General features: G+C 40.0%; 1 protein-coding gene and 1 pseudogene across 2 annotated transcripts in view; both read left to right on the top strand.

The window, feature by feature from the left end:
• Positions 5889–7403, top strand: HCFC2P1 (host cell factor C2 pseudogene 1; annotated as a pseudogene).
• Positions 21343–26153, top strand: part of MYO16 (myosin XVI) — a 712290-nt gene continuing 707479 nt past the window's right edge. For both annotated transcript variants that reach the window (XM_011521062.2, XM_047430183.1), the window contains exon 1: positions 21343–21551. The gene's annotated coding sequence lies outside the window, so the exon portion shown is untranslated. The remainder of the gene's footprint in view (positions 21552–26153) is intronic.

Genomic DNA, 26153 nt, shown 5'->3' on the forward strand with positions numbered 1-26153 from the left:
AAGGGCAGACTCTTCAGATACACAGGTTTCACATGGCTGACGTGGGGACTTGCGTATGGACAGATCTTGGTGTACTCAGGGATCCTGGAACCAATTCTGTGTATAACAAAGGACAACTGCACTTTATATTTCTCCTCGTAAGCTGTCTTATATTCTTTCAGAAAGAAAAGAATTAAAAATAGATACTGTGGAATGCTGTTCAGAAGCAAATTCTGTTTGAAATGTACATTATATACCTGTATATACATGATATATATGTATATGTATAATTTATATTTTAAGATTTAAAAATGCATTTTATGGTGGAACCAAATTTAAGAATGTTAAGTAACAATCACATATAACAATTGTACTCGGTATTGTTAGAAAGACAAGATGTCATTTTTAAAAATTGCAGTTTTGAACATTGTGTTTTCAGAGACCAATGATATTTTTGTTTTTACTCTTAGTAATTTTTTAAAATACAGGAATAAGAACAACCACCTGAAAATTTAATGGCTAACATAAACCACTTTGGCCTCTAGAGGTTTATTTGAAATGGCAACTCATTTTTTTAGGCAAATATATTCTGGTACAAAGAAATTTCTAAAATGCCCAGAGGTGATGCATTTAGGAAGCTGATTTGAAACAAGGCAAAAAGATTAATTGCAGAGATTTCAACTTGAGATAAATGGAGTCAAAGTGGCAAACTGGCATTCGCATTTAAGATGTAGACTGACTGAAGAGGGATCTGATCTTCATTGGTAATTCACCTTCTAGTGCCTCGGTCTTCAGGCAGAAGGTGGCTCTCCAAGATTCATAGGGGTGGAAGTGCTTCCATGAGGAGCATCTATTTACCCTATTCTCTTGACTGAGAATAAACTAGTAAATTACAAAATCAGAAAGGCTGGTGTGGGGAATCTCCATTCTTTATTTGGCTTCCTTCCATCCTGGCATTGTATCTTGTCTCTTCCATAACCCATAAGTGTATCTCATGACTTTCTAGCAAATGGAAAATATGCTGTATCATCATTTCAACAGACTAAAAACGCATTCTCTGTCCTAGGTCAGCTCCACCTCTCTCAGATATTTTTATTTTTAAATATTTCCATGTCTATAAAGAAAGAATTTGTTGCTAAAAATTTCAGATAATATAAAAGTTAGATTTTTTTCCTAATAGAAAGAGGATGATATTCTTACTTAAGATATACTTAAGCCCTGGCCCGACATTGAACCTGCTTCTTTATTTTCATGGCTCCATAAGGGGAAAGCAGAATCAAAACGGTGTGCAACTGGCCACAACAGGCCTGGGGCTTTACTTCTCCTTCTTCTGCCTTGAAATGATCCACTCACTTCAGTTCTCCCAGACCCTCCTCAAATACTTAGTTTCAGAATCAGTTCTCAGAGTGGCCTTTCCTTTATCTGGAGCCTTAGCATCCCATCTGTGCCATGTGGCAATTATGCTGTCATTTCCCAGCATGCTATTTCTGCCCTCTTGGTGCCCACAGTTTCTGAGATACATGACATGGCCACAGAGACCAGGAACAATAGCTTAAGTATCTATCACTGTTTGGGGGGTCTTGAGAGAAGATTGTGTAGACGCTTGCAGATCAGTATCTATGATCATCTAAGACTCTAAGATCAAGATAGAGGTAGGTTTGGGACAGGAGAAGACATGATATTGAAGAATAAATAGGGCCGGTGTGGTTCACACCTGTAATCCCAGCACTTTGCGGGGACAAGGCAGGCGGATTACAAGGTCAAGAGATCAAGACCAGTCTGGCCAACATGGTGAAACCCTGGCTCTACTAAAAGTATAAAAATTAGCCAGGCGTGGTGGCGTGCACTCGTAGTTCAGCAACTTGGGCGGCTGAGGCAGGAGAATCGCTTGAACCTGGGAGGCGGAGGTTGCAGTGAGCTGAGATCGTGCCACTGCGCTCCAGCCTGGGCAACAGAGCAAGACTCCGTCTCAAAAAAAAAAAAAGAATAAATATCAGCCGGGTGTGGTGGCAGGTGCCTGTAGTCCCAGCTACTGTGGAGGCTGAGGCAGGAGAATCGCTTGAACCCGGGAGGCAGAGGTTGAAGTGGGCCAAGATCGTGCCACTGCACTACAGCCTGGGTGACAGAGCAAGACTCTGTCTCAATCAATCAATCAATAAATAACATAAAATCTAATTTATATGCCTTTCCTCCTATTAATCTGTCTTTTGGCTGGGCACAGTGGCTCACGCCTGTAATCCCAGCACATTGGGAGGCCGAGGTGGGTGGATCAGCTGAGGTCAGGAGTTTGAGACCAACCTGGCTAAAATGGTGAAACCCCGTCTCTACTAAAAAAAAGTACAAAAAATTAGCCGGGTGTTATGGCAGGTGCCTGTAATTCCAGCTGCTCAGGAGGCTGAGGCAGGAGAATCACTTGAACCCAGGAGGTGGAGGTTGCAGTGAGCCAATATCATACCATTGCACTCCAGCCTGAGCAATGAGAGTGAAACTTCATCTCAAAAAAAAAAAAAAAAAGAATATCTAAAACCTTTTTTTTAATGTCTAGTGGTGATAATTTTAAATACAAGACTGTAGCTATTATAAAAAATATATCCTATTTAACTCGTTTATAAATATAAGATTTTTTTTAAAACAGAAAAATTAAAACTGCTTTGGTTGTTAGAAAACACTGTTAATGACAACAATGTAAAACAATGACTTACCTTTCTGATCTAATTAGTACAAAGCATAATACTAATTACATAAATCATTAGATACATCAGATTCAGCTGGCTGAAGGTGTTCATTGCAATAACAAAGTCAATATACCATATATCAATCCTCAAGAATTGTGAAATTGTAATAGAGCTGCGTGCTCACTTATCCTAGTTTTCTAACCATACCTGTAAAAATATGTAGCTAGCACTAATGAGAAATGGAAAAGCATCTTGCTGTCTAGTGTAGGCTGGCAATAGAATAACAGTCAAGGTGCTAGTGTCAGAGCAGAAATGACACAGAGAGTTAGAACTTAAGCAGAAAGAATAATGTTGGAGACAGAATCAGTTTCAATATGATGGATTGATCTAGGGAGGAAGTTTTACTACAAATGAAGACAGGGCTCAGAGACTTAGGCTTGGGAAATGAATTTCATTTTAAATCAGGGTGTAAAAATTCTACTTTTATGAAAAGTTACTGATAACTGGGAGAGTAATTAAACTGGAATCAAAGTCCACATAGCCATAAAGCCTACGTGGGACTAAGCCTAAAGTAATAAGACCCAGGAGACTCCTACGTGGAACACAACAAGGATCCAGGGAGGAAAAGCAGCCAGTGCTGCTTGTGTGAAACGCATCCTAACTTCAGAGCTCCTGTAATAAAAGTACCGTGGGGATATCATGGCTGTAAAAGTTTGATGCTCACACTAGGAAAGTAACCTGACATTTGTTTGATAAAGTGACGAGCTGCTCAGTCATTAATCCTTTGATACAGCTGAAGTAGTTTTTATTTTTATGTAAAAGTATTCCACATTTTGTAGCACTGCTAAATTACATTCTTCCGACAATAGAATTTAGCAGAAATATGTTTCCCTTTTTTCTTTTCTTTTCTTTCCTTTTCTTTTTCCTTTCCTTTCCGTTCTGTTCTGTTCCATTCCATTCTTTCTTTTTTTTCAGAGACAGTCTTTCCCTGTCTCCAAGGCTGGAGTGCATGGCACATTCATAATCTTCTTTCCTTCAGGGGTTTTCAAGACCATTAGTCATTGCTTTATACTGATATTAGAAACTGATATGAGTGAGTGAACAATGATAATTGGTAATTACATTAAAGATAAAACATATTCAAAGTGAAGCAATTATGCTCTAGAAAGTAAGAATATTTTAAAACTGAAAATGTTCCAGATCATTCTTATGCTTTTAAAATTGTAAACATGAAAAACTCATAGATTTATAAATAGATTTCACACTACATATGTGGACTCAATAACTGCTGCACAATATTTAAAGTTTTCTAAACCACATCTTACTTGTCCATAAGCTTGGCATATACAAATGACATTAGTGTATCCATGGTAACCAGACAAATTAAAGAGGTGAATAGCTTAAAATCAGAGTGAAACTGAAAAGGTGAAAAAACATGTATCTTACTATAAAGCCTGTAAAGTAGTACCCAGTACTTTTGTGAAGAAGCGAAGATAAATTTTTATAATTTAGGAGAAAATGGAAACTTTACAAATGTTGAACCTTGGGGTTCAGAGAATTTGAAAGCATCTTTTTATCTCCTACTCATATATGGCACAGTCTTTGAAATGACTTATTAAAAAAATTCAAAATTGTCTAAACTTTGGGTGATTGTCTACTATGAAGGAAAATATTAATTTCAGATTAGTTTGAACTGAAATTTAGAATGCCTCTTAACTGATTATTTATAAGATGATTGTTGAAAATCTTATAATTTACTCTGGGTATTTTCCTATGAGATACACTTGAAGTAATTCTTTTTAAATTACATATATGTATATATATATATGAATTTCTTCGCTCATTTTGCTTTATACAAAGTTTTCACATTTGAATCAATTTCCCTTATTTCCCTTAATATCTTTGAAATAGCCATGGGTGGTTAGTGATTTTTTAAATAAATTCTTACAAGTAATTTGATGATAGTATTAAAGAATACGTAAGCAAAGATTTTCACTTCTGGTCAAGAAAGAGTTATACAGAGCAAATTTACTCATTGCCTAAAGTACTAAAAAGCCAGACAAAATGTATATATCGGCTGTTTTCAAGATGGTGAACATCAGCAGTGAAATGCAGTGATCCCTGAGAGGTGAGGAACAAACAAGGTCAGTCCTACAATTACCCAGATTAACCAGTGTATACTTTGTTCTCACACTGCTGATAAAGACATACCTGAGATTGGGTAATTTATGAAAAAGGTTTAATTGACTTACAGTTTTGCAGGGCTGGGTAGGCCTCAGAAAACTTACAATCATGGCACAAGGGCAAGCAAACACCTCCTTCTTCACATGGTGGCTGCAAGGAGAAGTGCAGAGCGAAGTGGGGGAAATGCCCCTTATAAAACCATCAGGTCTCATGAGAACTTACTCACTATCATGAGAACAGAGCATGGAGGTAACTAACCCCATGATTCAATCACTTCCCACCGGGCCCCTCCCACAACTTGTAGGAATTATGGGAACTACAGTTCAAGATGAGATTTGGGTGGGGACACAGCTAAACCATGTTGCTAGGATTACTGCCCAGGGAAAATTTCCAGATGCAGCAGTACAGGGAAGGGGAACTCAGGTGGATGTGGGTCGACTACGGAAATGAAGAGATTGGCTAAGAATCTGAGAATGCCAACTCAGCTGGAGTTCACAGGCTGAGTGCCAGAGATGAGACAGCTGCACAGAGAGACAACTTCGGATATCTGCAGATGATCTTCCTCAAGCCCTCACATGAAATCCAATCAACCTATGCATATGAGGAAAATGTCTGAGGCTGGGAAAATAACTACACAAATTATAGTGAAAACTCAGTGAAATTCACACAGAGCTAGGAATAATGTCTGTTTCCACAAGCCAGAGTGGGAAATCTTTTAATTATTGGGGTACTAAGTAGAGTAATCCCAGGAGTTTTAGTTCAAATGTGGATAAGTTAGACCGAGACTAAACATTTTTCTTTTTCAAACTCACATCTCAAAAGCAAGACCCCAAAAGATTAATCTATTTTTAAGAAACCTAAGTGTGTCATAAAACAAAGCTTAAGAATATTTATAGGAACATCCAGCAATCATAAAGGAAAATCACAATATCTAGCATTCAATCAAAAACAACCAAGCATGCAAAGAAACAAAAAAGATGCCCATAATCAGAAGACAATCAATCAATTGAATCCAACCAAGATGATAGAGTTTGTAGACAAGTATACACCAGTAGTTATAAGGGGCCCATCCTCCATGCTTGGTGTGGACACCAGACTCTGGTCCTCTGGGAGCTGATGATCACTTTTAGAAAGGACAAAGAGGCATTGTGGAAGAGCTGCAAATCTCTACAACACTGTTATGTGTCAGTGGATTCTACTGAATGTTAGAGAAGATATCCATCCAGGGCTTACCATCCATGGATTCATTTGTGATAGTACCAGAGTATTTGTATTTGGAGGAAGAGTTGAAGATGCAAGATACAAGTTCTGTGAGTTATAAGCAAGTTGTTTATTATGGGAAAAAAAGGAAAATCCCATCCCCTATCTTTTTATGTATCTGTTTGTATTTAAATTAATATAAATTTTCTCTAATGGTAACAATGGCTATTCATCTTGTGGTCAGAAAATAAAGGTGAAGAGTCAAAAATAATATTCCCAGATATTTAAATAACTTGTATGAATTGGAGCCACAGGATGCTTCTGGAGCTTTTGATTGTAACAGTCCAATGGCTCAATGGATTGTGCCTTCTCTGAGACATGTGGCCATTCTAGATTGTAGCAAGAAAAATTCTGTGGCAAGAAAGATTCCAGAAGTACTGAAATATATATTACTGATGAAATATGTGATGCTTAGCTGGATGATCTATGGCAATTTGATATTAAGTCTATATGATACTTAAAACCACAAATGAAAGGAACAGTGCCACTGCAATGAAGTTTTACATAGCCTTTTTAGAGAAAAGAAGATGCATATTTTTGGTGGATGGGATCCACATAAAGGGAAAAATAATAAATACTTGCTTTATGATTATGAATGGCAATATAACAGTTCATTTTCTTACCTGAATCTGGATACAATAAGGTAGGCCACGCTAGTATCAGATTCTTGGAACCATTAAATAAGTAATCAAGATATAAGAACAACAGCTCACCATGTGCTATTGCAGGTGGTACAGGTGCTCAATTGTCTTTTTGGGGTGGAAGTGATAGCTACAAAAAAATTGGGAGTAGTCACATATGCAGCAAAGATCTTTGTTACTTTGCTACTAAGAAACCACTAGCACCATCACAAATTCTACAGATTAAAGCTACTACCAACACTTACGTCAAGTGGCATAAAGTGTCCGTAGCTTTCGCAGTTAGATATGTATATGCTGTACTAAATTGCATCATTAGATTCTCCAGCATCACCATTTAGGAAAAGATTCAGAATGCATGCTCACAGCCAGGCGGTAATAACATTATACCCCAAAGGATTCAAGTTTCTCTGTTTAAATAATTTAAAATTCCAATAATATAGTAAACCGTGAAAAAAACTGGACATATAGCTGTGAGGGGAAATTCAGTAGACAACAAATTAGATCTCCATATATGGGCAGAAACCATTTCATTTTTATTTGGTGACTAATGCTTTTAATCATGGCAGTTATAAGATGAATACGCTAAGGGAAATTGAAATTCACTCTACTTCAACAAAAGTAGATGAACTAAATAGTTGCCTGAGCTTAAGAAACTTCTGTACCCAGCACTGTTTTGAGCAAACAAATGATGGAAATCCAGTAGATCATGATTCTAGTAACTGGTTGTGGTTCACTGTTGTCTCTCACGTACTGGGTTGGGGCAAAAGTAATTGTGAAGAAGTAACTGCGGTTTTGCCATTACTTTCAATATAATTAAATTTAGAATTTTTGCCATTGAATGTAATGGCAAAACTGCAATTATTTTTGCTCCAAGCTACAGTATATATTCTCCATATTTTAAAAGTTCAATGTTGGCCGGGCGCAGTGGCTCACGCCTGTAATCCCAGCACTTTGGGAGGCCGAGGCGGGTGGATCACGAGGTCAGGAGATCGAGGCGGGCGGATCACGAAGTCAGGAGATCGAGACCACAGTGAAACCCTGTTTCTACTAAAAATCCAAAAAAAAAAAAAAGAAAAGAAAAAAAAAAGAAAATAAAATTAGCCGGGCCTCGTGGCGGGCGCCTGTACTCCCAGCTACTCGGGAGGCTGAGGCAGGAGAATGGCGTGAACCCGGAGGTGGAGCTTGCAGTGAGCCGAGATCGCGCCACTGCACTCCAGCCTGGGCGACAGAGTGAGACTCCGTCCCAAAAAATAAATAAATAAATAAATAAAATAAAAATAAAAAATAAAAGTTCAATGTTTAAGTACTTTCTCTAACCTTGTTTCATATAAACAGTGGTCTCTGCAGCCAATTTTTATTGGATAATATATGTTATACTAGTTTTATTGGCCACCTGATTTTATTCCTTTTAAAATTATTTCTAGTTAGTACAGAGCTTAAGAAATATTTTAAAAGAAGAAAGTTCAGAAGTTTTGCTTTTGAGTTGCTATGATTTTCTAAGAATCATAGCAAAATACAAATTAGTAATAAATCTTATTGATTCTTGCCAGACCAATATATTTGAATAAATTTATAGTCAATTCATGTGATTTATGTGGCCCTCAGTCTCTTCATTAATAAAATACCTTACATTTATACATTTTCAGAATTATAACTCTGTATTTTTGTGAAATATGAAAATTTTCATGAGCTATTAAATTGAATTCTTCATAAGTTAAAATTCAAAATTAAAGCATATGTTATACTATTGCAAAAAGAAGCATTTTAACAGGATACAAGTTTTAAAATAGTGCTTTAATTACTTGTAAGACTTTGTAAATGTTTTAAATGTTTCATTTTCACAGAATTTACTTCAAAATTATATAAGCTTACTTCCAAAATATAAATACTGTACAACTTACTGAAGCTCCATTACAACCTTGAAGATGTAGAGAGACATCAGCATGCACTACAGATTACTTTTAAATCTATTAGAAATGCTGTAATTTTTCTGCCTATTCAAATCTGGACTGAATGTGCAGAACAATAATTGCAGAATAGACATTTAGAACTAAGAGCTGCAGTAGTTTCATAGGCTCAGGTCTCTATTTTTTACACACATACCCTTTTGCCAATTTAGTTTAACTGAGTAGCTGTGTTCCCATAATTCATGTACAAAAGTGAAACAAAGGTGAATTTGTTTGTGCAGGGTTGATATGTACAGGTGTTGTAGTTACTAATTTAAGATATATAGTATGGCTCATATATAGTTTTTGTAAAGAAATTATATTTTTATACCACAGTATTTGTCATTAATATGTTTTATTAATTCTTTTGAAGAAAACATGCAAATGCTTAGGTGCATAATGAATGTTTTCCGAACTCCAAGTGCACTGCCACGGTATGATTAGAACACCTTTCTGTGGTTATATCAATCCTAGAGCTTTGAATGTGCACTTTACATGCAGCGTTGACAAAGAGTATTGTTGGCTTGCTCCAGCAGCATCTCTGAGTGAGTCCTGCATTCTGCATTTGTTGAACTCATATGTTTTGCCTTCGGCTTATGACTGTTTTTCTAACTGATAAAATTTTAACTTACTTCATTATTATGTTTTAAAATCATTTACGTAGACACATTTAATCAAACTAATAAACTAATAACTAAGACATATGCCAACACACTTAATCAAATGTGTCTATGTAAATACACTGACATATACTAAACAAACACTTCACCAAAGTTAAATTTAAAATAAATGGCAATCAAGTTTGTACATACTACATGCTAACCCTTGTCAGGTGCATAGGTGAATTTAGATTAAAAATATGAATGTAAAGTTGTAGTAAGTATATGTTTGAAGAACAATGATTTTGCCACCTATTTTTACTGGAGAAAGACTGAATATGTAATAGCTTATTCTCAACATTCTTAGCAATTTTCTTCTTGAAGCATTTCTCTTAACAAGAAGACATTATTTGACTTTAAGCAAAGTATAGAATATGTGTAGGAATGCACACATTTGTACTCGTTTCATACTTTCAAGTGGTTGATTTACATAGTTTAAATTCCCCTGCAGTTGCAGAGCAGGAGGTGAACATGAAACTGACTAACCAATGGCTCAACTTTTCAGGCAGAAGGTTGGCATTTCTATAGCAAGGAACCTGCTAAACTAAATAAACAAATATTTTCAGTTTGAGAATTAGCCAACTCTTGTTCATTTTCTGGCTTTTGTGTGTTAACCACCAATCACACTTATTTCTTGCAGAAATGACTAGTGACTTAAAGATATTATTGAGACATCTTTGTGGCTTTGCCATTGTTAAACAGATGGTCTGGCGCAAATAGAGAAGATCAATTAGCTTCTCCTGATTTACATATTTTTCTAATAAAGATCCTTTTTTGTAACAAAGAGGCATATGATACAGATAGAATTTCCCATAAGAAGAATTATATTGAGTTAAATTACTTTCTTCTTCCAAATTGGATGAGCAAATCAGATGTAGCAAACCTTTATGTCATCGTGTGCTCTGTGACTTTAGCCAAGGTATAGAATATGAAAGTCTGCTGTTGTAATATTCCTAAACTTTACATATACATGAGATAAATGTAAATGGTCTAAACATTTCTATTAGAAGGCAGAGATTGTAAAAATGACTAAAAAAGCAAGACCCAATAATATATTTTTTACAATAAGTGCACTTTAAATATACAGACCTAAATCATTTAAAAGTAAGAATAAGAAGATATAAGGTATCATGCTATTATGAACTAAATGTTTATGCTCACTGCCCCCTCCCCCCACAAAAATCATACATTTAAACCCTAATCCCCAGTGTGATGGTATATGGAGGTGGGGGTCTTTGGGAGGTAATTAAGGTACATTAAATCATGAAGATAGACTTCTAATGATAGGATTATTATCCTTATAAAAAAATAGACAGGATGTTTGTTTTTCTCTGCGATGTGAGGTTACAAATAGATGGTTATCTACAAACCGAGAAGAATGTTCCCACCAGACCCAAATCTGTGAGTGCCTTGTTCCTGGACTTTCCAGCTTCCAGCACTGTGAAAAATATTTGTTGTTTAAGCCACCTGGTCTATGGTATTGTGTTATAGTAGCCCAAACTGGCTAAGACATATGCTAACACTAATTTAAAAAAAAGCTGAGTGGCTAGATAAATGTGAGAAACAAAAGTAGATTGTTTTACCAAGGAATATTATTAGGAATAAGAGGATCACTTAGTGATAAAGTGATTAACTCATTAAAAGTACATGACATTTCTGGGGGTCAGAGCAAGATGGTGAAATAGAAGCCAACACCATCCTATGTGCCCCCTGCAAGAACACCAAATTTTAACAATGAGCTACACACAAAAATGCGCCATCACAAGAACCAAAAATAAGGTGAGTGATCACAGTACCTGGTTTTAACTTCATATCACTAAAAGAGCCACGGGGGAGGGTAGGAAAGACAGTCTTGAATTGCCAATGCCACCCCTCCCCCATTCCCCAGCAGCAGACATGTGATATGGGGAATCTGTGCACTTAGGGGAGAGGGAGTACAGAAACTGGGGAACTTTGCATTGAACTCAGTACTGCTGTGTCAAAGAAGAGAGCAGAGCCATGCTGGGCTGGGCCAGTGTCCATACACAAAGGGGACATTTGAACAACTCTTGCCGGAGGAGAATCACCCATCCAAGAGGTCGGAACTTGAGTTTCTTGGCAGGCTTTGCCACCACAGGCCAAGGAGCCCTGGGATCCTAGGTAAACTTAAAAGGTAGTCTAGGACACAAGGTCTGAAATTCCTAGGCAACTTCTAGTGTTAGGCTAGAGTTAGAGCCAGTGGACTAGGATGGCAAGTGACATACTAAGACACCAGCTGGGGCAACTAAGGGAGTGCTTGAGCCAACCCCTCCCCAATCCCAGGCAGTGCAGCTCACAGTGACAAAAGTGACTCCTTCCTTCTGCTTGAGGAGAGAAAAGCAAAGTGAAGAGGACTTTGTCTTGTATCTTGAATACTAGTTCAGCCACAGTAGGATAGGGCAATGGGTAGAGTCATGAGATCTCTGTTCTAGGCCTTAGCTCATGGATGATATTCTTAGCTCATTACAACATTTTATGGTTGCCTTTGTTCAAGGCAGCCAAAAGAGAATCTGCTGCCTTTTAGTGAAGAGCCTAATCCTGGCAGGATTCATCACCTGCTGACTAAAGAGCCCTTGGGCCCTGAATAATCACCAGTGATACCAAGGTGATTATTCAGCCCAAGGTGATCATGGGCCTTGGGCTCTGAGACATGCTGGCTTCAAGAGTGACCAAGCACATTCACAGCTATGGTGACTATGCTAAAAGACTCCTTCTGCTTGAGAAAAGCAGAGGGAAATGTAAAGGGGATTTTGCCTTGCACCCTAGATACCAGCTTGACCACAGCTGGGTAGAGCAACAAGCAGGCTCCTGGGGTCCCTGATTCCGTGACTAGGTTCTTGAACAGCAAATCTGGACCTGCCTTTGGACAGGGGGAGTTCCATTGACCTGAAGGGTGAGTCCTAAGCCTGGCAGCATTCACCACAAACTGACTGAATAGCCCTTGGACTTTAAGTGAACATTGGTAGTGTCCTGGCAGAATACCCTATGGGGTGGTGATGGTAGTGGCCAAAATGGGAGGCTCTTCTGCTTGCAGAAAGGGGAGGGAAAAGCAGTAATGACTTTGTCTTGTGGTTTGAGTGTGGAAACATAGGTGGTAGACAGCTAGTGGTTACAATGGGCCAAGGGCAAGACCAAGTGCTGTGCTGGCTTTAGATCTAAACCAGTGCAGTCCCCATGGTGGTGGCCACAGGGCTGTTTATGTCCCCCCTCACCCCAAGTTCTAGGTGGCTCAGCACGGAAAAAGAGACTCCATTAGTCTGGGAGAAAGTAAGGGAAAAGAATAAGAGTCAATGCCTGGTAATCCAGAAAATTCTTCTGGATCTTATCCAAGACCACCAAGACAGTACCTCTATGAGTCTCCAAGAAGCATAGTGTTATTGGGTGTGGGACCCAAGCCCCTTTGAATACCTGGAAAGCCTTCCCAAGATGGATGGTGCTCAGGTGATGGGTGCACCAGCATCTCACAAATCACCACTAAAGCTACTCATGTAACCAAATGCCTCCTGTACCCCAATAACTTATGGAAAAATAAAAATAATAAAAATGCAAGTGACCTACAGAAGAAGGCATCAGAGTCTCTTAATAGAAGAACTGATCATGCAGAAGAAAGAATTAGTGAGCTGGAAGACCATCTATCTGAAAATACACAGAGGAGATAAAGAAAAAAAGAAGAAAGCACATTACACAATCTAGAAAACAGCCTCAAAAGGGCAAATCTAAGAGTTATTGGCCTTAAAAGGAAAGAAGAGAAAGAGATAGGGGTAGAAAGTTTATTCAAAGGAATAATAATCAGAGAACACTCCAAATCTGGAGAAATATGTCAATATTCAAGATGAGAAAATTATAGAATACCAAGCAGATTTAACCCAAAGAAGACAACCTCATGTCCTTTAATAATCAAATTACCAGAGGCTAAAGATAAAGGATTCTAAAGGCAGCAAGAGAAAAGAAACAAATAACATACAATGGAGTGTCACTTCATCACTTCATCTGGCAGCTGACTTTCAGTGGAAATCTTACAGGCCAGGAGAAAGTTGCATGACATTTAAAGTGCCGAAGGAGGCCAGGCATGGTGCCTCACACCTGTAATTCCAGCACTTTGGGAGGCTGAGGTGGGCGGATCACCTGAGGTCAGGAGTTTGAGACCAGCCTGGTCAACATGGTGAAGTCCCATCTCTACTAATGATACAAAATTTAGCTGGGCTTGGTGGTGCACGCCTGTAATGCCAGCTACTCAGGAGGCTGAGGCAGGAGAATTGCTTGAACCCAGGAGGTGGAAGTTGCAGTGAGCTGAGATCATGCCATTGCACTCCAGCCTGGGTGACAAGAGTGAAACTCCATCTCAAAAAATAAAAATAAATAAATAAATAAGTAAAGTGCTGAAGTAGATAACCTTTTACCCTAGAAAAGTATATCCAGACCAAAAAACAAAAAAAAAAAAAAGAAAGAAACAAGGCTGAGGGATTTTTTATCAACCCCAGTCCTGTCCTACAAGAAATGCTGAAGGGAATTCTGCAATCTGAAAGAAAAGAATGGTAATGAGCAAGAAGAAATCATCTTAAGGTACAAAACTCACTGGTAATAGCACACAGAAAATATAAAATATTACAGCTCTGTAACGGTGGTGTGTAAACTACTCAAGTAAAAAGACTAAATGATGAACCAATAAAAAATAATAACTTTTCAAGACATAGACAGTATAATAAGACATAAATAGAAACAATAAGAGCTTAAAAAGCAGGGGGACGACTGGGCACAGTGGCTCACACCTGTAATCCCAGCACTTTGGGAGGCTGAGGCAGGTGGATCACTTGAGGTCAGGAGTCCGAGACTAGCCTGAGCCTGACCAACATGGTGAAACCCCGTCTCTACTAAAAACACAAAAATTAGCCAGTTGTGGTGGCAGGTGCCTGTAATCCCAGCTACTCAGGAGGCTGAGGCAGGAGAATCACTTGAACCTGAGAGGCAGAGGTTGCAGTGAGCTGAGATCATGCTACTGCACTCCAGCCTAGGTGACAGAGCAAGACTCCATCAAAAAAAAAAAAAAAAAAGAGGAGGACAAAATTAAAGTGTATAGTGTTTGTTAGTTTTCATTTTCCTTGTTTGTTTATGCAATCAGTGTTAAGTTGTTAAGTTTAAAATAATGGGTTATAAGGTAGTCTTTGCAAGCCTCATGGTAATCTCAAATTGAAAATCATACAACAGATACACAAAAAATAAAAAGCAAGAAACTGAACCATATCACCAAAGAAAATCGCCTTCCCTAAAAGCAAGACAGGAAAGAAGAAAGAGAAGACCAAAAAACAACCAATCAATGTGATCAATTGTATCAACAGAATGAAGGACAAAACCAGGCAATCATTTCAGGTGCTGAAAAAGCATTTGATAAAGGTCAACATCCCTTCACAATAAAAAAAAAAAAACCTCTAAAAAAAAAAACCTGGATATAGAAGGAACATACGTCAACACAATAAAAGTCGTATGTGACAGACACACAGCTAGTATCCACTGAATGGAGAAAATCTAAAAGCCTTTCCTTTAAGATCTGAAGCACATCAAGGATACTCAGTTTCATCGCTGTTATTCAACATAGTACTGGAAGTCTTAGCTAGGGCAATAAGACAAGAGAAAAAATATAAAGGACCTCTAAATTGGAAAGGAAAAATTTGAATTATCCCTGTTTGCAGATTCTATAATCTTATATTTGGAGAAATTTAAAGACTCCACAAGAAAACTATTAGAACTAATAAACAAATTCAGTAAAGTTTCAGGATACAAAATCAACATACAAAAATCAGTAGCATTTCTATATGTCAACAGTGAACAGTTCTGGAAAAAAAATCCAAAAGTCATCCTATTTACAATAGCCACATATAGAATTGAGTACCTAGGGATTAACTTCATCGGAGAATCTGAAGATCTCTTCAATGAAAGCTATAACACACTGATGAAAGAAATTGAAGAGGACACAAAAATGGAAAGATATTCCATACTCAGGCATTGGAAGAATCAATATTGTTAAAATGTCAATACTACTGAACACAATCTATAGATTCAATGCAATCCTATCAAAATATCAATGACATTCTTCACAGAAAGACAAAAACCATCCTAAAATTTATAGATAACTTCAAAAGACTGGGATTAGCCAAAAAAGCTATCCTAAGCAAAAAGAACAAAATTGGAGAAATCACATTACTGGACTTCAAATTATACTACAGAGCTATAGAACCAAAGCAGCATGGTACTGGCATAAAAAGACACATAGATCAATGGAACAGAATAGAGAACCCAGAAATAAATCCATACATCTACAGTGAGCACATTTTTGAGAAAGTTGCCAAGAACATGCACTGGGGAAAGGACAGTCTCTTCAATAAATGGTGCTGGAAAAACTGGATATCCATATGCAGAAGAATGAAACTAGACCTCTATCTCTCACCATACACAAAAATCAAAATGGGTTAATGGCTTAAATCTAAGACCTCAAACTATGAAACTAATACAAGAAAACATTGGGGAAAATCTCCAGGACATTGGACTGGGCAAAGATTTTTTGAGTAATGCCCACAAGCACAGGCAACCAAAGCAAAAAATGGACAAATGGGATGACATCATGTTAAAAAGCTTCTGCAAACCAAAGGAAACAATCAACAAATAAAGAGATTACCAACAGAATGAAATAAAATATTTGCAAACTACCTGACAAGGAATTAATAACCAGAATATATGAAGAGCTCAATCAACTATATAGGAGAAGAATAATAGTCTGAATTAAAAATGGGCAAAAGATTTGAATAGACATTTCTCAAAAGAAGACACACAAATGGCAAACAGGCATATGAAAAAGGACTTTGCATCATTGATCATCAAAGAAATACAAATCAGAACAATCACACCACTACACTCCAGCCTGGGCAAGAGCACAAGACTCTGTCTCAAAAAAAAAAAAAAATGTCATGAGATGTCATCTCACCCCAGTTAAAATGGCTTTCATCCCAAAGACAGGCAGTAGCAAACGCTACAAGGAGATGGAGAAAGGGGAACTTTCATACACTGTTGGTGGGAATGTAAATTAGTACAACCACCATGGAGAACAGTTTGGAGATTCCTCCAAAAACTAAAAATAATGCTACCATATGATCCAGCAACCCCACTGCTGGGTATATACCCGAAAGAAAGAAAAGGAGTGTATCAAAGAGATGTCTGCACTCTCATGTTTGTGGCATCACTGTTCACAATAGCCAAGATTTGGAAGCAACCTAAGGAGCCTTCAACAGATGAACGGATAAAGAAAATGGTGCATATACACAAAGGAGTACTATTCAGCCATAAAAAAGAATGTGATCCTGTCATTTGCAGCAACACGAATGGAACTGGAGTTCATTATATTAAGTGAAATACATCAGGCAAAGACAAACTTTGGATCTTCCCTTTTATCAAAGTGGGAAGCTAAAAACCAAAACAACTGAACTCATGCAGATAGAGAGTAGAAGGGTGATTACAAGAGGCTGGGAAAGATAGTAGGCAAGTTGTGAGGAGGTGGTTAATGTGTACAAAACAATAATTAGAAAGAATGAATAAGATCTAGTATTTGATAGAACAATAAGGTGACTAAAGTCAGTAATAATTTAATTGTACATTTTAAAATAACTTAAAAAGTATAATAGGATTGTTTGTAACATAAATGATCAATGCTTGAAGGGATGAATACCCTATTTTCATGATGTGATTATTACACATTGCATGCCTGTATCAAAGTAACTCATGTACCCCATAAATATATACACCTATGTATCCACAAAATTAAATATTAAATTTAAAATTTACAAAGGAAGTATGTAACAATTTAAAATATTTATGGAATGAAAAGGGAAATTTTCAATACAAAAGTAAAAACTGATAGCATTACAAGGAAGAATATAAAAATTCACAATTACAGCTGGAGATTTCAACACCCCATTTTCATTTCTAATTGATAAAATCGACAATAGGTATATAAAAGACTTTAATAACTCTATCAACCATCAACATAATTAACACTTATAGTAACTCCAGCTATAAACAGCAGAATGTGCATTTTCTTCAAGTGCATTTGTCATATGGTTTGGCTTTGTGTCCCCACCCAAATCTCACCTTGAATTGTAATAATCCCGGCGTGTCAAAGGACAAGGTGGAGATAATTGAATCATGGGGGTGGTTTCTGCCATGGCTTTCTCATGATAGTGAGTTCACACAAAATCTCATAGTTTTACAAGGGGCCTCCTCATTTCCTCCGCCCTCATTCTCTCTCCTGCCGCCCTTTGAAGAGGTGCCTTCTGCCGTAACTATAAGTTTCTTGAGGCCTCCCCAGCCATGTGGAACTGTGAGCCAATTAAACCTCTTTTAAGTCTCTTTTCTTTATAACTTATCCAGTCTTGGGTATTTCTTCATAGCAGCTGTGAGAAGGAACTAATACAGTAAATTGGTATCGGTACAGTGGGGCACTTCTGTAAAGATTCCTGAAAATGTAGAAGAAACCTGTATATATATAATATAGATACAGAATAGATTATATATGTATATGCAGAATAGATATATATATGCAGAATAGATTATGAGTGTAATAAAATATATAGAAATAATTCACTTTACACGTTTCCATTAGATGAACTTAATACTTTGTTTCTAAAAGTGATAAAAACTTTAATTCAGAATGTTGTTATAGCCATCTTCTTTGAGGTTTCTATTTTAGGTAATCCTCTTTTACCAGAATATACCTGATATGGCTGCCAAAGCTGGATAATACATGCTTCTGTCCTAGTAAAAAAATTACTATTACAGAATTTGTTGTCTCCATGTAAACAGAGAAATTACCAATGACAAACGAGCATTCATATCTCACTTTAAAAAGAAAAATTACCTTTGGGAACTGAACCAATATTGACATTCTCAATAATACATTACCCATATGCTTAAGTTGCATGTGATTTTTTCAAACCTTATCAATTACAATTGTGTATTTCAGCCCACTGTAATCACTACCTGATGCAGAATGTAACGGAAAAGCTAGAATGCAAACATGATTTTCTACTTATGACTTTTGCTATTTTCTTTACATGTTTCGTCTTATACTGTCACCTGCTAATACAGAAACTTAGATATATGATATGAACATATATCCAATATATAACCCATATTTGAGAAACATGCACTGTAGCAATACAAAGCCTGAACTCTCCTGCTGACCACATTAGGATTTTATCAGGCACCTCTACCGTTTGATGTCTGTAGAGCTTTAAAGATTGGTTACCAGAGCTTAACTTCTGGTGAGCTAAATATGTGCAAGCTGCTTCTTCTATACAAGTCTTACAATATAAAGAGAAACAGAATGATTTCAAGTATTAAGCAACACAATAAACATAAAAATGGGTAATATGGCTGGGCGCAGTGGCTCACGCCGGTAATCCCAGCACTTTGGGAAGCCGAGGTGGGTGGATCACCTGAGGTCAGGAGTTGAAGACCAGCCTGACCAACGCTGCAAAACTCCATCTCTACTAAAAATACAAAATTAGCCAGGCATGGTGGTGGGCACCTGTAATCTCAGCTACTCGGGAGGCTGAGGCAGGAGAATCGCTTGAACCCAGGAGGCGGAGGTTGCAGTGAGCCAAGATCATGCCACTGCACTCCATTCTGGGCGACAGAGCAAGAATCTGTCTCAAAAAAAAAAAAAAAGGGTAATATTCCTCATATCACATTTATACACATTTATATTTGTCTGGCATTAAATGCATAAAATGCCAGGAAGACAGTAAGGTGCTGAAATGATTATTTTACTTTTAATTCATAGTCAATCTTGTTAGCTTTCATTATTTTATTATGATTTTGTAAATTATTTTAATAAAAACTAACTCTGACTTAGACTCCATTACATTATATATGGAAAACATCATCATATAGTTTCATATTTAAGCTCAATTAATTAGTTTAATTAAGCCCATCTTAAAAATCACAGAATACATTTCAAATCACCTAAGATGTAATATAAATGGCAATTAAAAAGAAATATAAATTGCAATTAAAAAGCGGTATCTCAAGTCATTATTTAATCCATACTTGAAAATGCAGCCTTATAATGTCACCTAAGTATGAAGTTTGAATTTCATGCAGAAAACTAACTGTAGAGTCTCTGTTTTTCATATATTCATGTATCATACAATTTATCCAGACATATCCAATAATTAATATGGTAGTAAACTCATTTGAAGAAAGTTACTGTGTACTATGTTCAAGACCCTCTGCTATGATGTATATGTATATGTATACATACGCACATATTATGTGATTATATATAATCACATATTATACATAATATAGAATTACAGTATATACATACATTATATAATCACATTATATATTATATTTTATATATACATTACATAGATTATAATATATATTAATGTGTACAATATGTATATATATAATCATCTATACAGTCATTCACTGCATAAGGATGTTTGGGTCAACAACTGACCGCATGTAGGAAGGTGGTCCCATAAGATTATAATACCATGTTTCTATTGTACCTTTTTTACGTCTACATAAGTTTAGATATACAAATACTTACCATTGTGTGATAATTGCCTATGGCATTTGTCACACGAACATGCTTTACAGGTTTGTAGCCTAAGAGCAATAGGTTATGTACCATATGTCGTGTGTGTGTGTGTGTGTGTGTGGCAGGGGCCTCCTGTCACCGGGGCTGGAGTGCGGTGGCGCAATCTCGGATTTCGATTCACTGCAACCTCCGCCTCCAGGGTTCAAGTGATTCTCCCACCTCAGCCTCCTGAGTAGCTGGGACCACAGGTCGTGCCACCACACCCAGTTAATTTTTTTGTATTTTTGGTAGAGACGGGGTCTCGCCACGTTGCCCAGGCTGGTCTCGAACTCCTGAGCTCAGGAGATCCCCCCGCTTTGGCCACCCAAAGTGCTGGGATTACAGATGTGAGCCACCGCGCCCCGCCTGTAGCACATGTCCTAGGTGTGGAGTAGGCTACACCACTGAGCTCTGTGTAAGTCCGTGCACCCTATGTTGCTCGCACAGCCACACAATCGCCTAAGGACACATTTCTCAGAGAGTACCCCTCATTTCTCAGAGCGCACCCCTCTGGTAAAGCAACGTATGACGGCGTGTCTTCATTAACCCCATTATTAATACAGCAAATAGCCCTCCTGGCGAAATGTGGACAGGGAACGCGTTTACACAGCCACCCAAGGACAAAATTGGGGGCGGGGGTAAGCCTTCCATTTTATCACACTGAATGCACTGGAATCGTCTGACAGCTGTGACGGAGCAGTCCCCTGGAGACAGGCTTGTTCTGGCACATGTTCTCTGGTCCAAGGCTGAAGTTGATTTTTGGAGCCCTATTCAGAAGGCTCTTGAATGACCAGAGAGGGCGAAGGACTGTTACGGCCTCTGTAGCTTTAAAAGGGGTCACTCATTTCATCTGGTAACCACTGCCACAGTCCCCGCGATGGCCTTTGTTCTGTTAGGACTCCCCAGGGGGACCTCGGCTCCAGGTCACAGCTCTGGGCACTCCCTTCTCCTCCTGCTCCCAGGATCTTGCTAAAGTGGAGACGGAAGGAAAAGTTTCAGGAGTGAGCTGCGTTCTTAGAATTGTAGCAGAGAGAGAGGAGGGAGAGAGCAGAGGATCGGAGGGCAGGAGTGGAGAGAGGCGCGGTCTCCTGGAACGCGCGGGGGAACGTGGAAAGGAGGGCGCGGGAGACCCGGAGGGCTGCCCCGGCGGGGATTAGAAGCGAGGCGGGTTCAGCGTCCTGGGCGCCGCAGGAAAGTGACCCGCAGAGCGAGGCGCGGCGCCCCGGGAGCTGGAGCTCAGCCCCACGACCCGCGCTGCGGCGGGCACCACGCGGGGGGCGCGCGGGGAGGGGAGAGGCGGGGCCGGCGGGGACTGTGTCGCCGCCGACGCCGCGGCTGCGGGTCGCAGAGGCGGGCAGAGAGAGCCGCCGCCGAGCGGGTGGCGGAGCAGTCCCCAGCCTCCAGCCGGCCTGGCTGCGCGCAACCGCGCCGGCCCCGGGCACAGGGGCAACTGCCGACCCCTCTCACCCGCCGCGCGGGGCTGGTTTCCGAGCCGAGTCCCGGCCATCGCCGCGTCGCCTGGCGCCCGGCTCCGGCGGACCCTTCTCCGGCAGGTAGGGGCGTCGGCGGGGCGCTGCGCGCGGTCCAAGCGCGGGGAACGCGGCGGGGCAGCCTCTCCGAGTCTGGAGGTACGCGGGGCGCAGAGGCTGTTCTGCACCGCCGGGCTGGGGACGCCGGGAGGGTGCCCCGGGTCGGACTTGCGGCGCTGGGTCCCCACCCAGAGTTCCCGCACGGTGAGGGTTGGACGCGTCTGGGGGGCGTGGAGAGGAGGCTTGTCGGTCCCTTCCTGGGAAAGGAATCGCGGGGACTTCCCAACCGCTAGGACGCGTAAGCCGAGGCTGGGAGTAGAAGCCTTCTGAACTCTGGACCTACCCCAGAAGGAGGGGGCGAAACTGGCCATTTCGAGGGACGCGGAAGCCCCGTTGCTAGGGGAGATGGGGGAAGCGGCGTGGTCACCTACACAACCGCTCCCAGGCGCGATGGGGGCTCTGCTTCCTCCTCCTCTGTTTCTTTGGGGATGGAAAAGAGAGCAGAACAAAGATGTAGAGTGAAGGAGGGCTCCCCAGCTGTTGCCTCTTGCGCGGATTCTGCTGACCCCTCTGCGCGACCCCAGCTGGGCAGTGTCAGCTCCATTGTCTCAGAGGCCGGCGGCCAAGTGAGGGACCAGTCTCACCCGGGGGGCGTCGAGCCTCAGCGCATCGCCCCGTCTTCCCTGGCTGCAGAAAACCACTAGGCCGGTGGAAGTGCTCCGTTTAATTGGTCCCTAGTACGCCCCCGAAAGGAAATGGAGACGATTTCCGTCAAGTTCTCTTAGTATTTCTGTCATTTACAGAAAAGCAGTAGCTACTCACATGTGGCTCAGATGTCTGTGTGGGGGTTGTGAGCCAGGGCATTAAAATTGGGTGTTAACCGTTTGCCACTCAGAAGAATTATTAGCCATTGGAGGAGGAGCGGTTTCTCTTGCTAAGCGGGGTTAAGTGAAACTTGGCTGCTCTGAATTGGCCAGAGGAGTAAATGAGCAGAGGGCTGACCTGCGTCTTCCAAAGGCAGAAGCACAGGGGAAGCCCGGAGCCTCTTCTGAGTTAGTGGCTTTCTCTGCGAATCTCATGCGGTCTCTGGAGTCTGTGTTGGGATGAAGGTTAAAGCATTTACAACACGCGTTTGTCATGTGTTCTTGGGACTATTTCTGACGCTCCTGCGGTCTATCCATGCATCTCCCAGTGCTTTTCACTTAGAATCTAGAGGAAGAACAAGGGATCCCAAAGTCGTCAATGAGATCCTGAGATCAAAGCCACATGATTGAGGAGGGGCCAACCACAGATCCACTGGGACAACCAGCTTCTTTCTTTTGGGATTATTGCATAGCTACCAGATTAAATTACATTTTCCTCTTAGTATTTTTAATTTGTAGAAGCCTCGAAGGTAATTTGTCATCTGTGGATTAAGGGTGCTCTAAAACCTGTCTATTGGTCTTTTTGAAGTTATTTTAGTTTGTTAATATTAAACAAGCATATGTGACATTTACTTAACACTATGACATGTGATTAACTTTTGTAAGCATATGAGGTTTACATTTGATGGATGTTTTGAAAACAGTATATACAGCAATGCATTATAGACAGCATATGTTCCAGGGACTATACTACTTGCTATAGACATCACCCAGAGTGTGATATTTATTTACTGAAGGAAAAATGTATTTAACCAATACAATTTCATCTAGAGGGCAGAATGCTATGGTTGGGTTTATCTGTGTACTATGAGAATTGGGAGGGGAAATTTAATAAAGTAAAATGATTTGTTTTGTATACATTAAAATAGCTCAAATATTTTGCACGTGTAATTAATACTATGAAGGTTTCTGCCCCTCTCCTCCACCCCCCTGGCCTGAGAATGCTTGAAGATACAAGCCCCACCTGCTGCTGTGCTGGGTCATGAATGTAATCTGTGAGTAAGTTAGTTGCCTGTGGATAAAGGAGAGTGTATACTGAATACAAGTTGGCTGCAGAACCCCAGTGTTCTTGAAGGAGACTGAATAAAAATAGAAATATTGCCTTCTCCTTGAGAAATCAGAAAATAAAATCTGTTGGGTGAAGCCACAATCATACATAGAATCATATATGATCCAAATATATATGTATATGTGTGTATCTCTATGTGTGTACATAACTTGCAGATCTTAAATGTGTTAAAACATTTGCATAAGTGAGAAGAGATACGGCATTGGAACTGTGATATTTGAAAATGATACTTTAAGCCTGTGCTCAGTTGAGCACCTCAAAAATGTGTTTGCCCTTTCCGGATCTCATCACCAGGGCAAATCCAGGCCAATAAAAACACATGTTCATAGAACGAGAAAATGCTGGGGTAGAACGGTACTTTCAAAATGTTCTGTTCAAGCTTGCTCTACCCCAAGTGAAGGCGAAGAGGTCCAGAAGACTTAGGTAATTTTTTTTTCAAGATCACACAGCTAGATATTGGCAAGGATGTTGGGTCTTGCTGTCTCCACCAGAATGGAGTGGTAGATGTGGAGGGAGAGAGAGTGATTTGATTACTTTCTCCTGAGAAAAGGGCTGGCCAGTGAAACCTACCACAGACGTAATGCCTCTCTCTCCTCTCCTTACTCCCTTCCTGTGTGATTCTCTGCCCACCAACCTTTCTTCTACATTCTGCTCTGTACTAGAAATAACTCATTGTTCTTTGAGATTTCCAGAGAGCAAAGAGTGAGCATGTGAAGAGATCAAGAAAAAACTTACTGAGATTAAAATGCATACAATTTAACCAGGTGGACTTTAAAAATTTAAAAAGCCAGGCCGTAAAAGCAGATGATTTTCACCTGAATTCCACTGAGGCAAGGAAGGACACAGTCCTAGAGGGAGAAATGTCATCATCACTCTCAGAAACTGAAAAGCTCACAGTAACAACACCTTATCTGTCCCAAAGTTGCTTTTCCATTTAGTATCTCATTTGATCCTCACAAGTGCCCTGTCTAGATGTAGGGAGGCACACCCATTCCACATTGCCAATTTCCTATGACTGAATTCTGGTCCTTCTCCTTCTCACAGATGTCCCCAGGCAAAATTAGGGGTTCCTCTGGGGCAAGGATACATGTGGGTGATTAGCACCCTGTAACATCTATTGTCTTAATTTAAGTCTATTTTCATCTTTGTATCCTAATAGCCTGCCCTGGATGTGCTATTCAGTAAGGATTCAGTCAGTGCTTTCAGAACATGGTTGACTCATGAGTTAATTGAGATCAAACATTTATACTCAACTTGCCTGTTTTAAGCATGGACTTTTTTTCAAGAGAATGTGCTAAATAATTTTCAGACAACGCAAAATTATAAAAATTTATTAACAATTCTATAGTGACATTTCCTGAAAATGAGTAGTCATTCAAGTATGCAGGACCTTGACTTTGAAGATTGTAAATTTCTAAGGACTGGCGAGGTGTGCTCCTTGGGATGCTAACTCTAGATTTTCTGGAGGTGCCCAATAAGAAGTAGATTCCCTGGCCTGTTCCAGGCCTGCGGAATCAGAATCTGGGGCTGGGACCACAACCTTCTGCTGAGTCATTTACAGGAGCACACTGCGTTTGAGAACACAGTGGATGGTCTTTCAAAAATGTACACTGGGCGCACCCCCAACCCCCCATCTAGCTAGAGCCACTTCTCTTTCCCACTTATATAGGAATCTGCAAAGATTTTCTTACTTGGTTAGTTTTATGTTATTATAATAACTAGGAAGACATGACAATAAACCAGGCCATTAATTCCAAGGAAGTTTAGGTTTACACTCTCAACTGTGACTAAAAGTAAACATGGATGAAATATTGGTAAACTTTAAGTGGTAGGATCAAATCAACTCATTTCTTATATATCCCACACAGGATTACAATTCTTTGTATATAATTATGTTTCTAAAAATAATTATGTTAAGTGACTTGTTCTTTGTAATTTCTGTGATGTGCTTATTTCTGTGGCCAGAGAAAAAGCCTGGGCAGAAGCGTCTCCGTTCCCTCCCTCCACTTCATGGAAGTCCATTCCTGAGCTCTCCTCAGCCTGGCTTCTCTGACCCCCTCCCTGGCACGGCCCCTCTCTCCCTCTGCTCCGGCGGGCCCTCTGTGCCCTCGCTTTGGCCCCTCTCTTCCTTTCTTTCCTGTGGTCTCAAGTCTCTCCTGCACCTCTTGGTGGGTGCATGTGCCTGGCCTCCACGTCTGCATCTCCAGTCCTGACCTGGAGGTTCCATACCACACCTGACTCCTCACATCCACACTGGAATCCTAATCTTGATTGTTCTCTCTAGGCTGGCCTCTGTTATTCCCGTTGATTCCTGTTTTTTTTTTTTTTGTTTTTTTTTTGTTTTTTTTGTTTTTTTTTTTTGAGACGGAGTCTGTCACCCTGGCTGGAGTGCAGTGGCACAATCTCATCTCACTGCAACCTCTGCCTCCCGGGTTCAAGCGATTCTCCTGCCTCAGCCTCCCGAGTAGCTGCGATTACAGGCGCCTGCCACCACGCCCGGCTAATTTTTGTATTTTTAGTAGAGATGGGGTTTCACTGTGTGGGCCAGGCTGGTCTTGAACTCCTGACATCGTGATCCACTCGCCTCGGCCTCCCAAAGTGCTGGGATTACAAGCATGAGCCACCACGCCCGGA

This window comes from Homo sapiens, chromosome 13, assembly GCF_000001405.40.
Source record: "Homo sapiens chromosome 13, GRCh38.p14 Primary Assembly".
NCBI classification, from domain to species: Eukaryota; Metazoa; Chordata; class Mammalia; order Primates; family Hominidae; genus Homo; species Homo sapiens.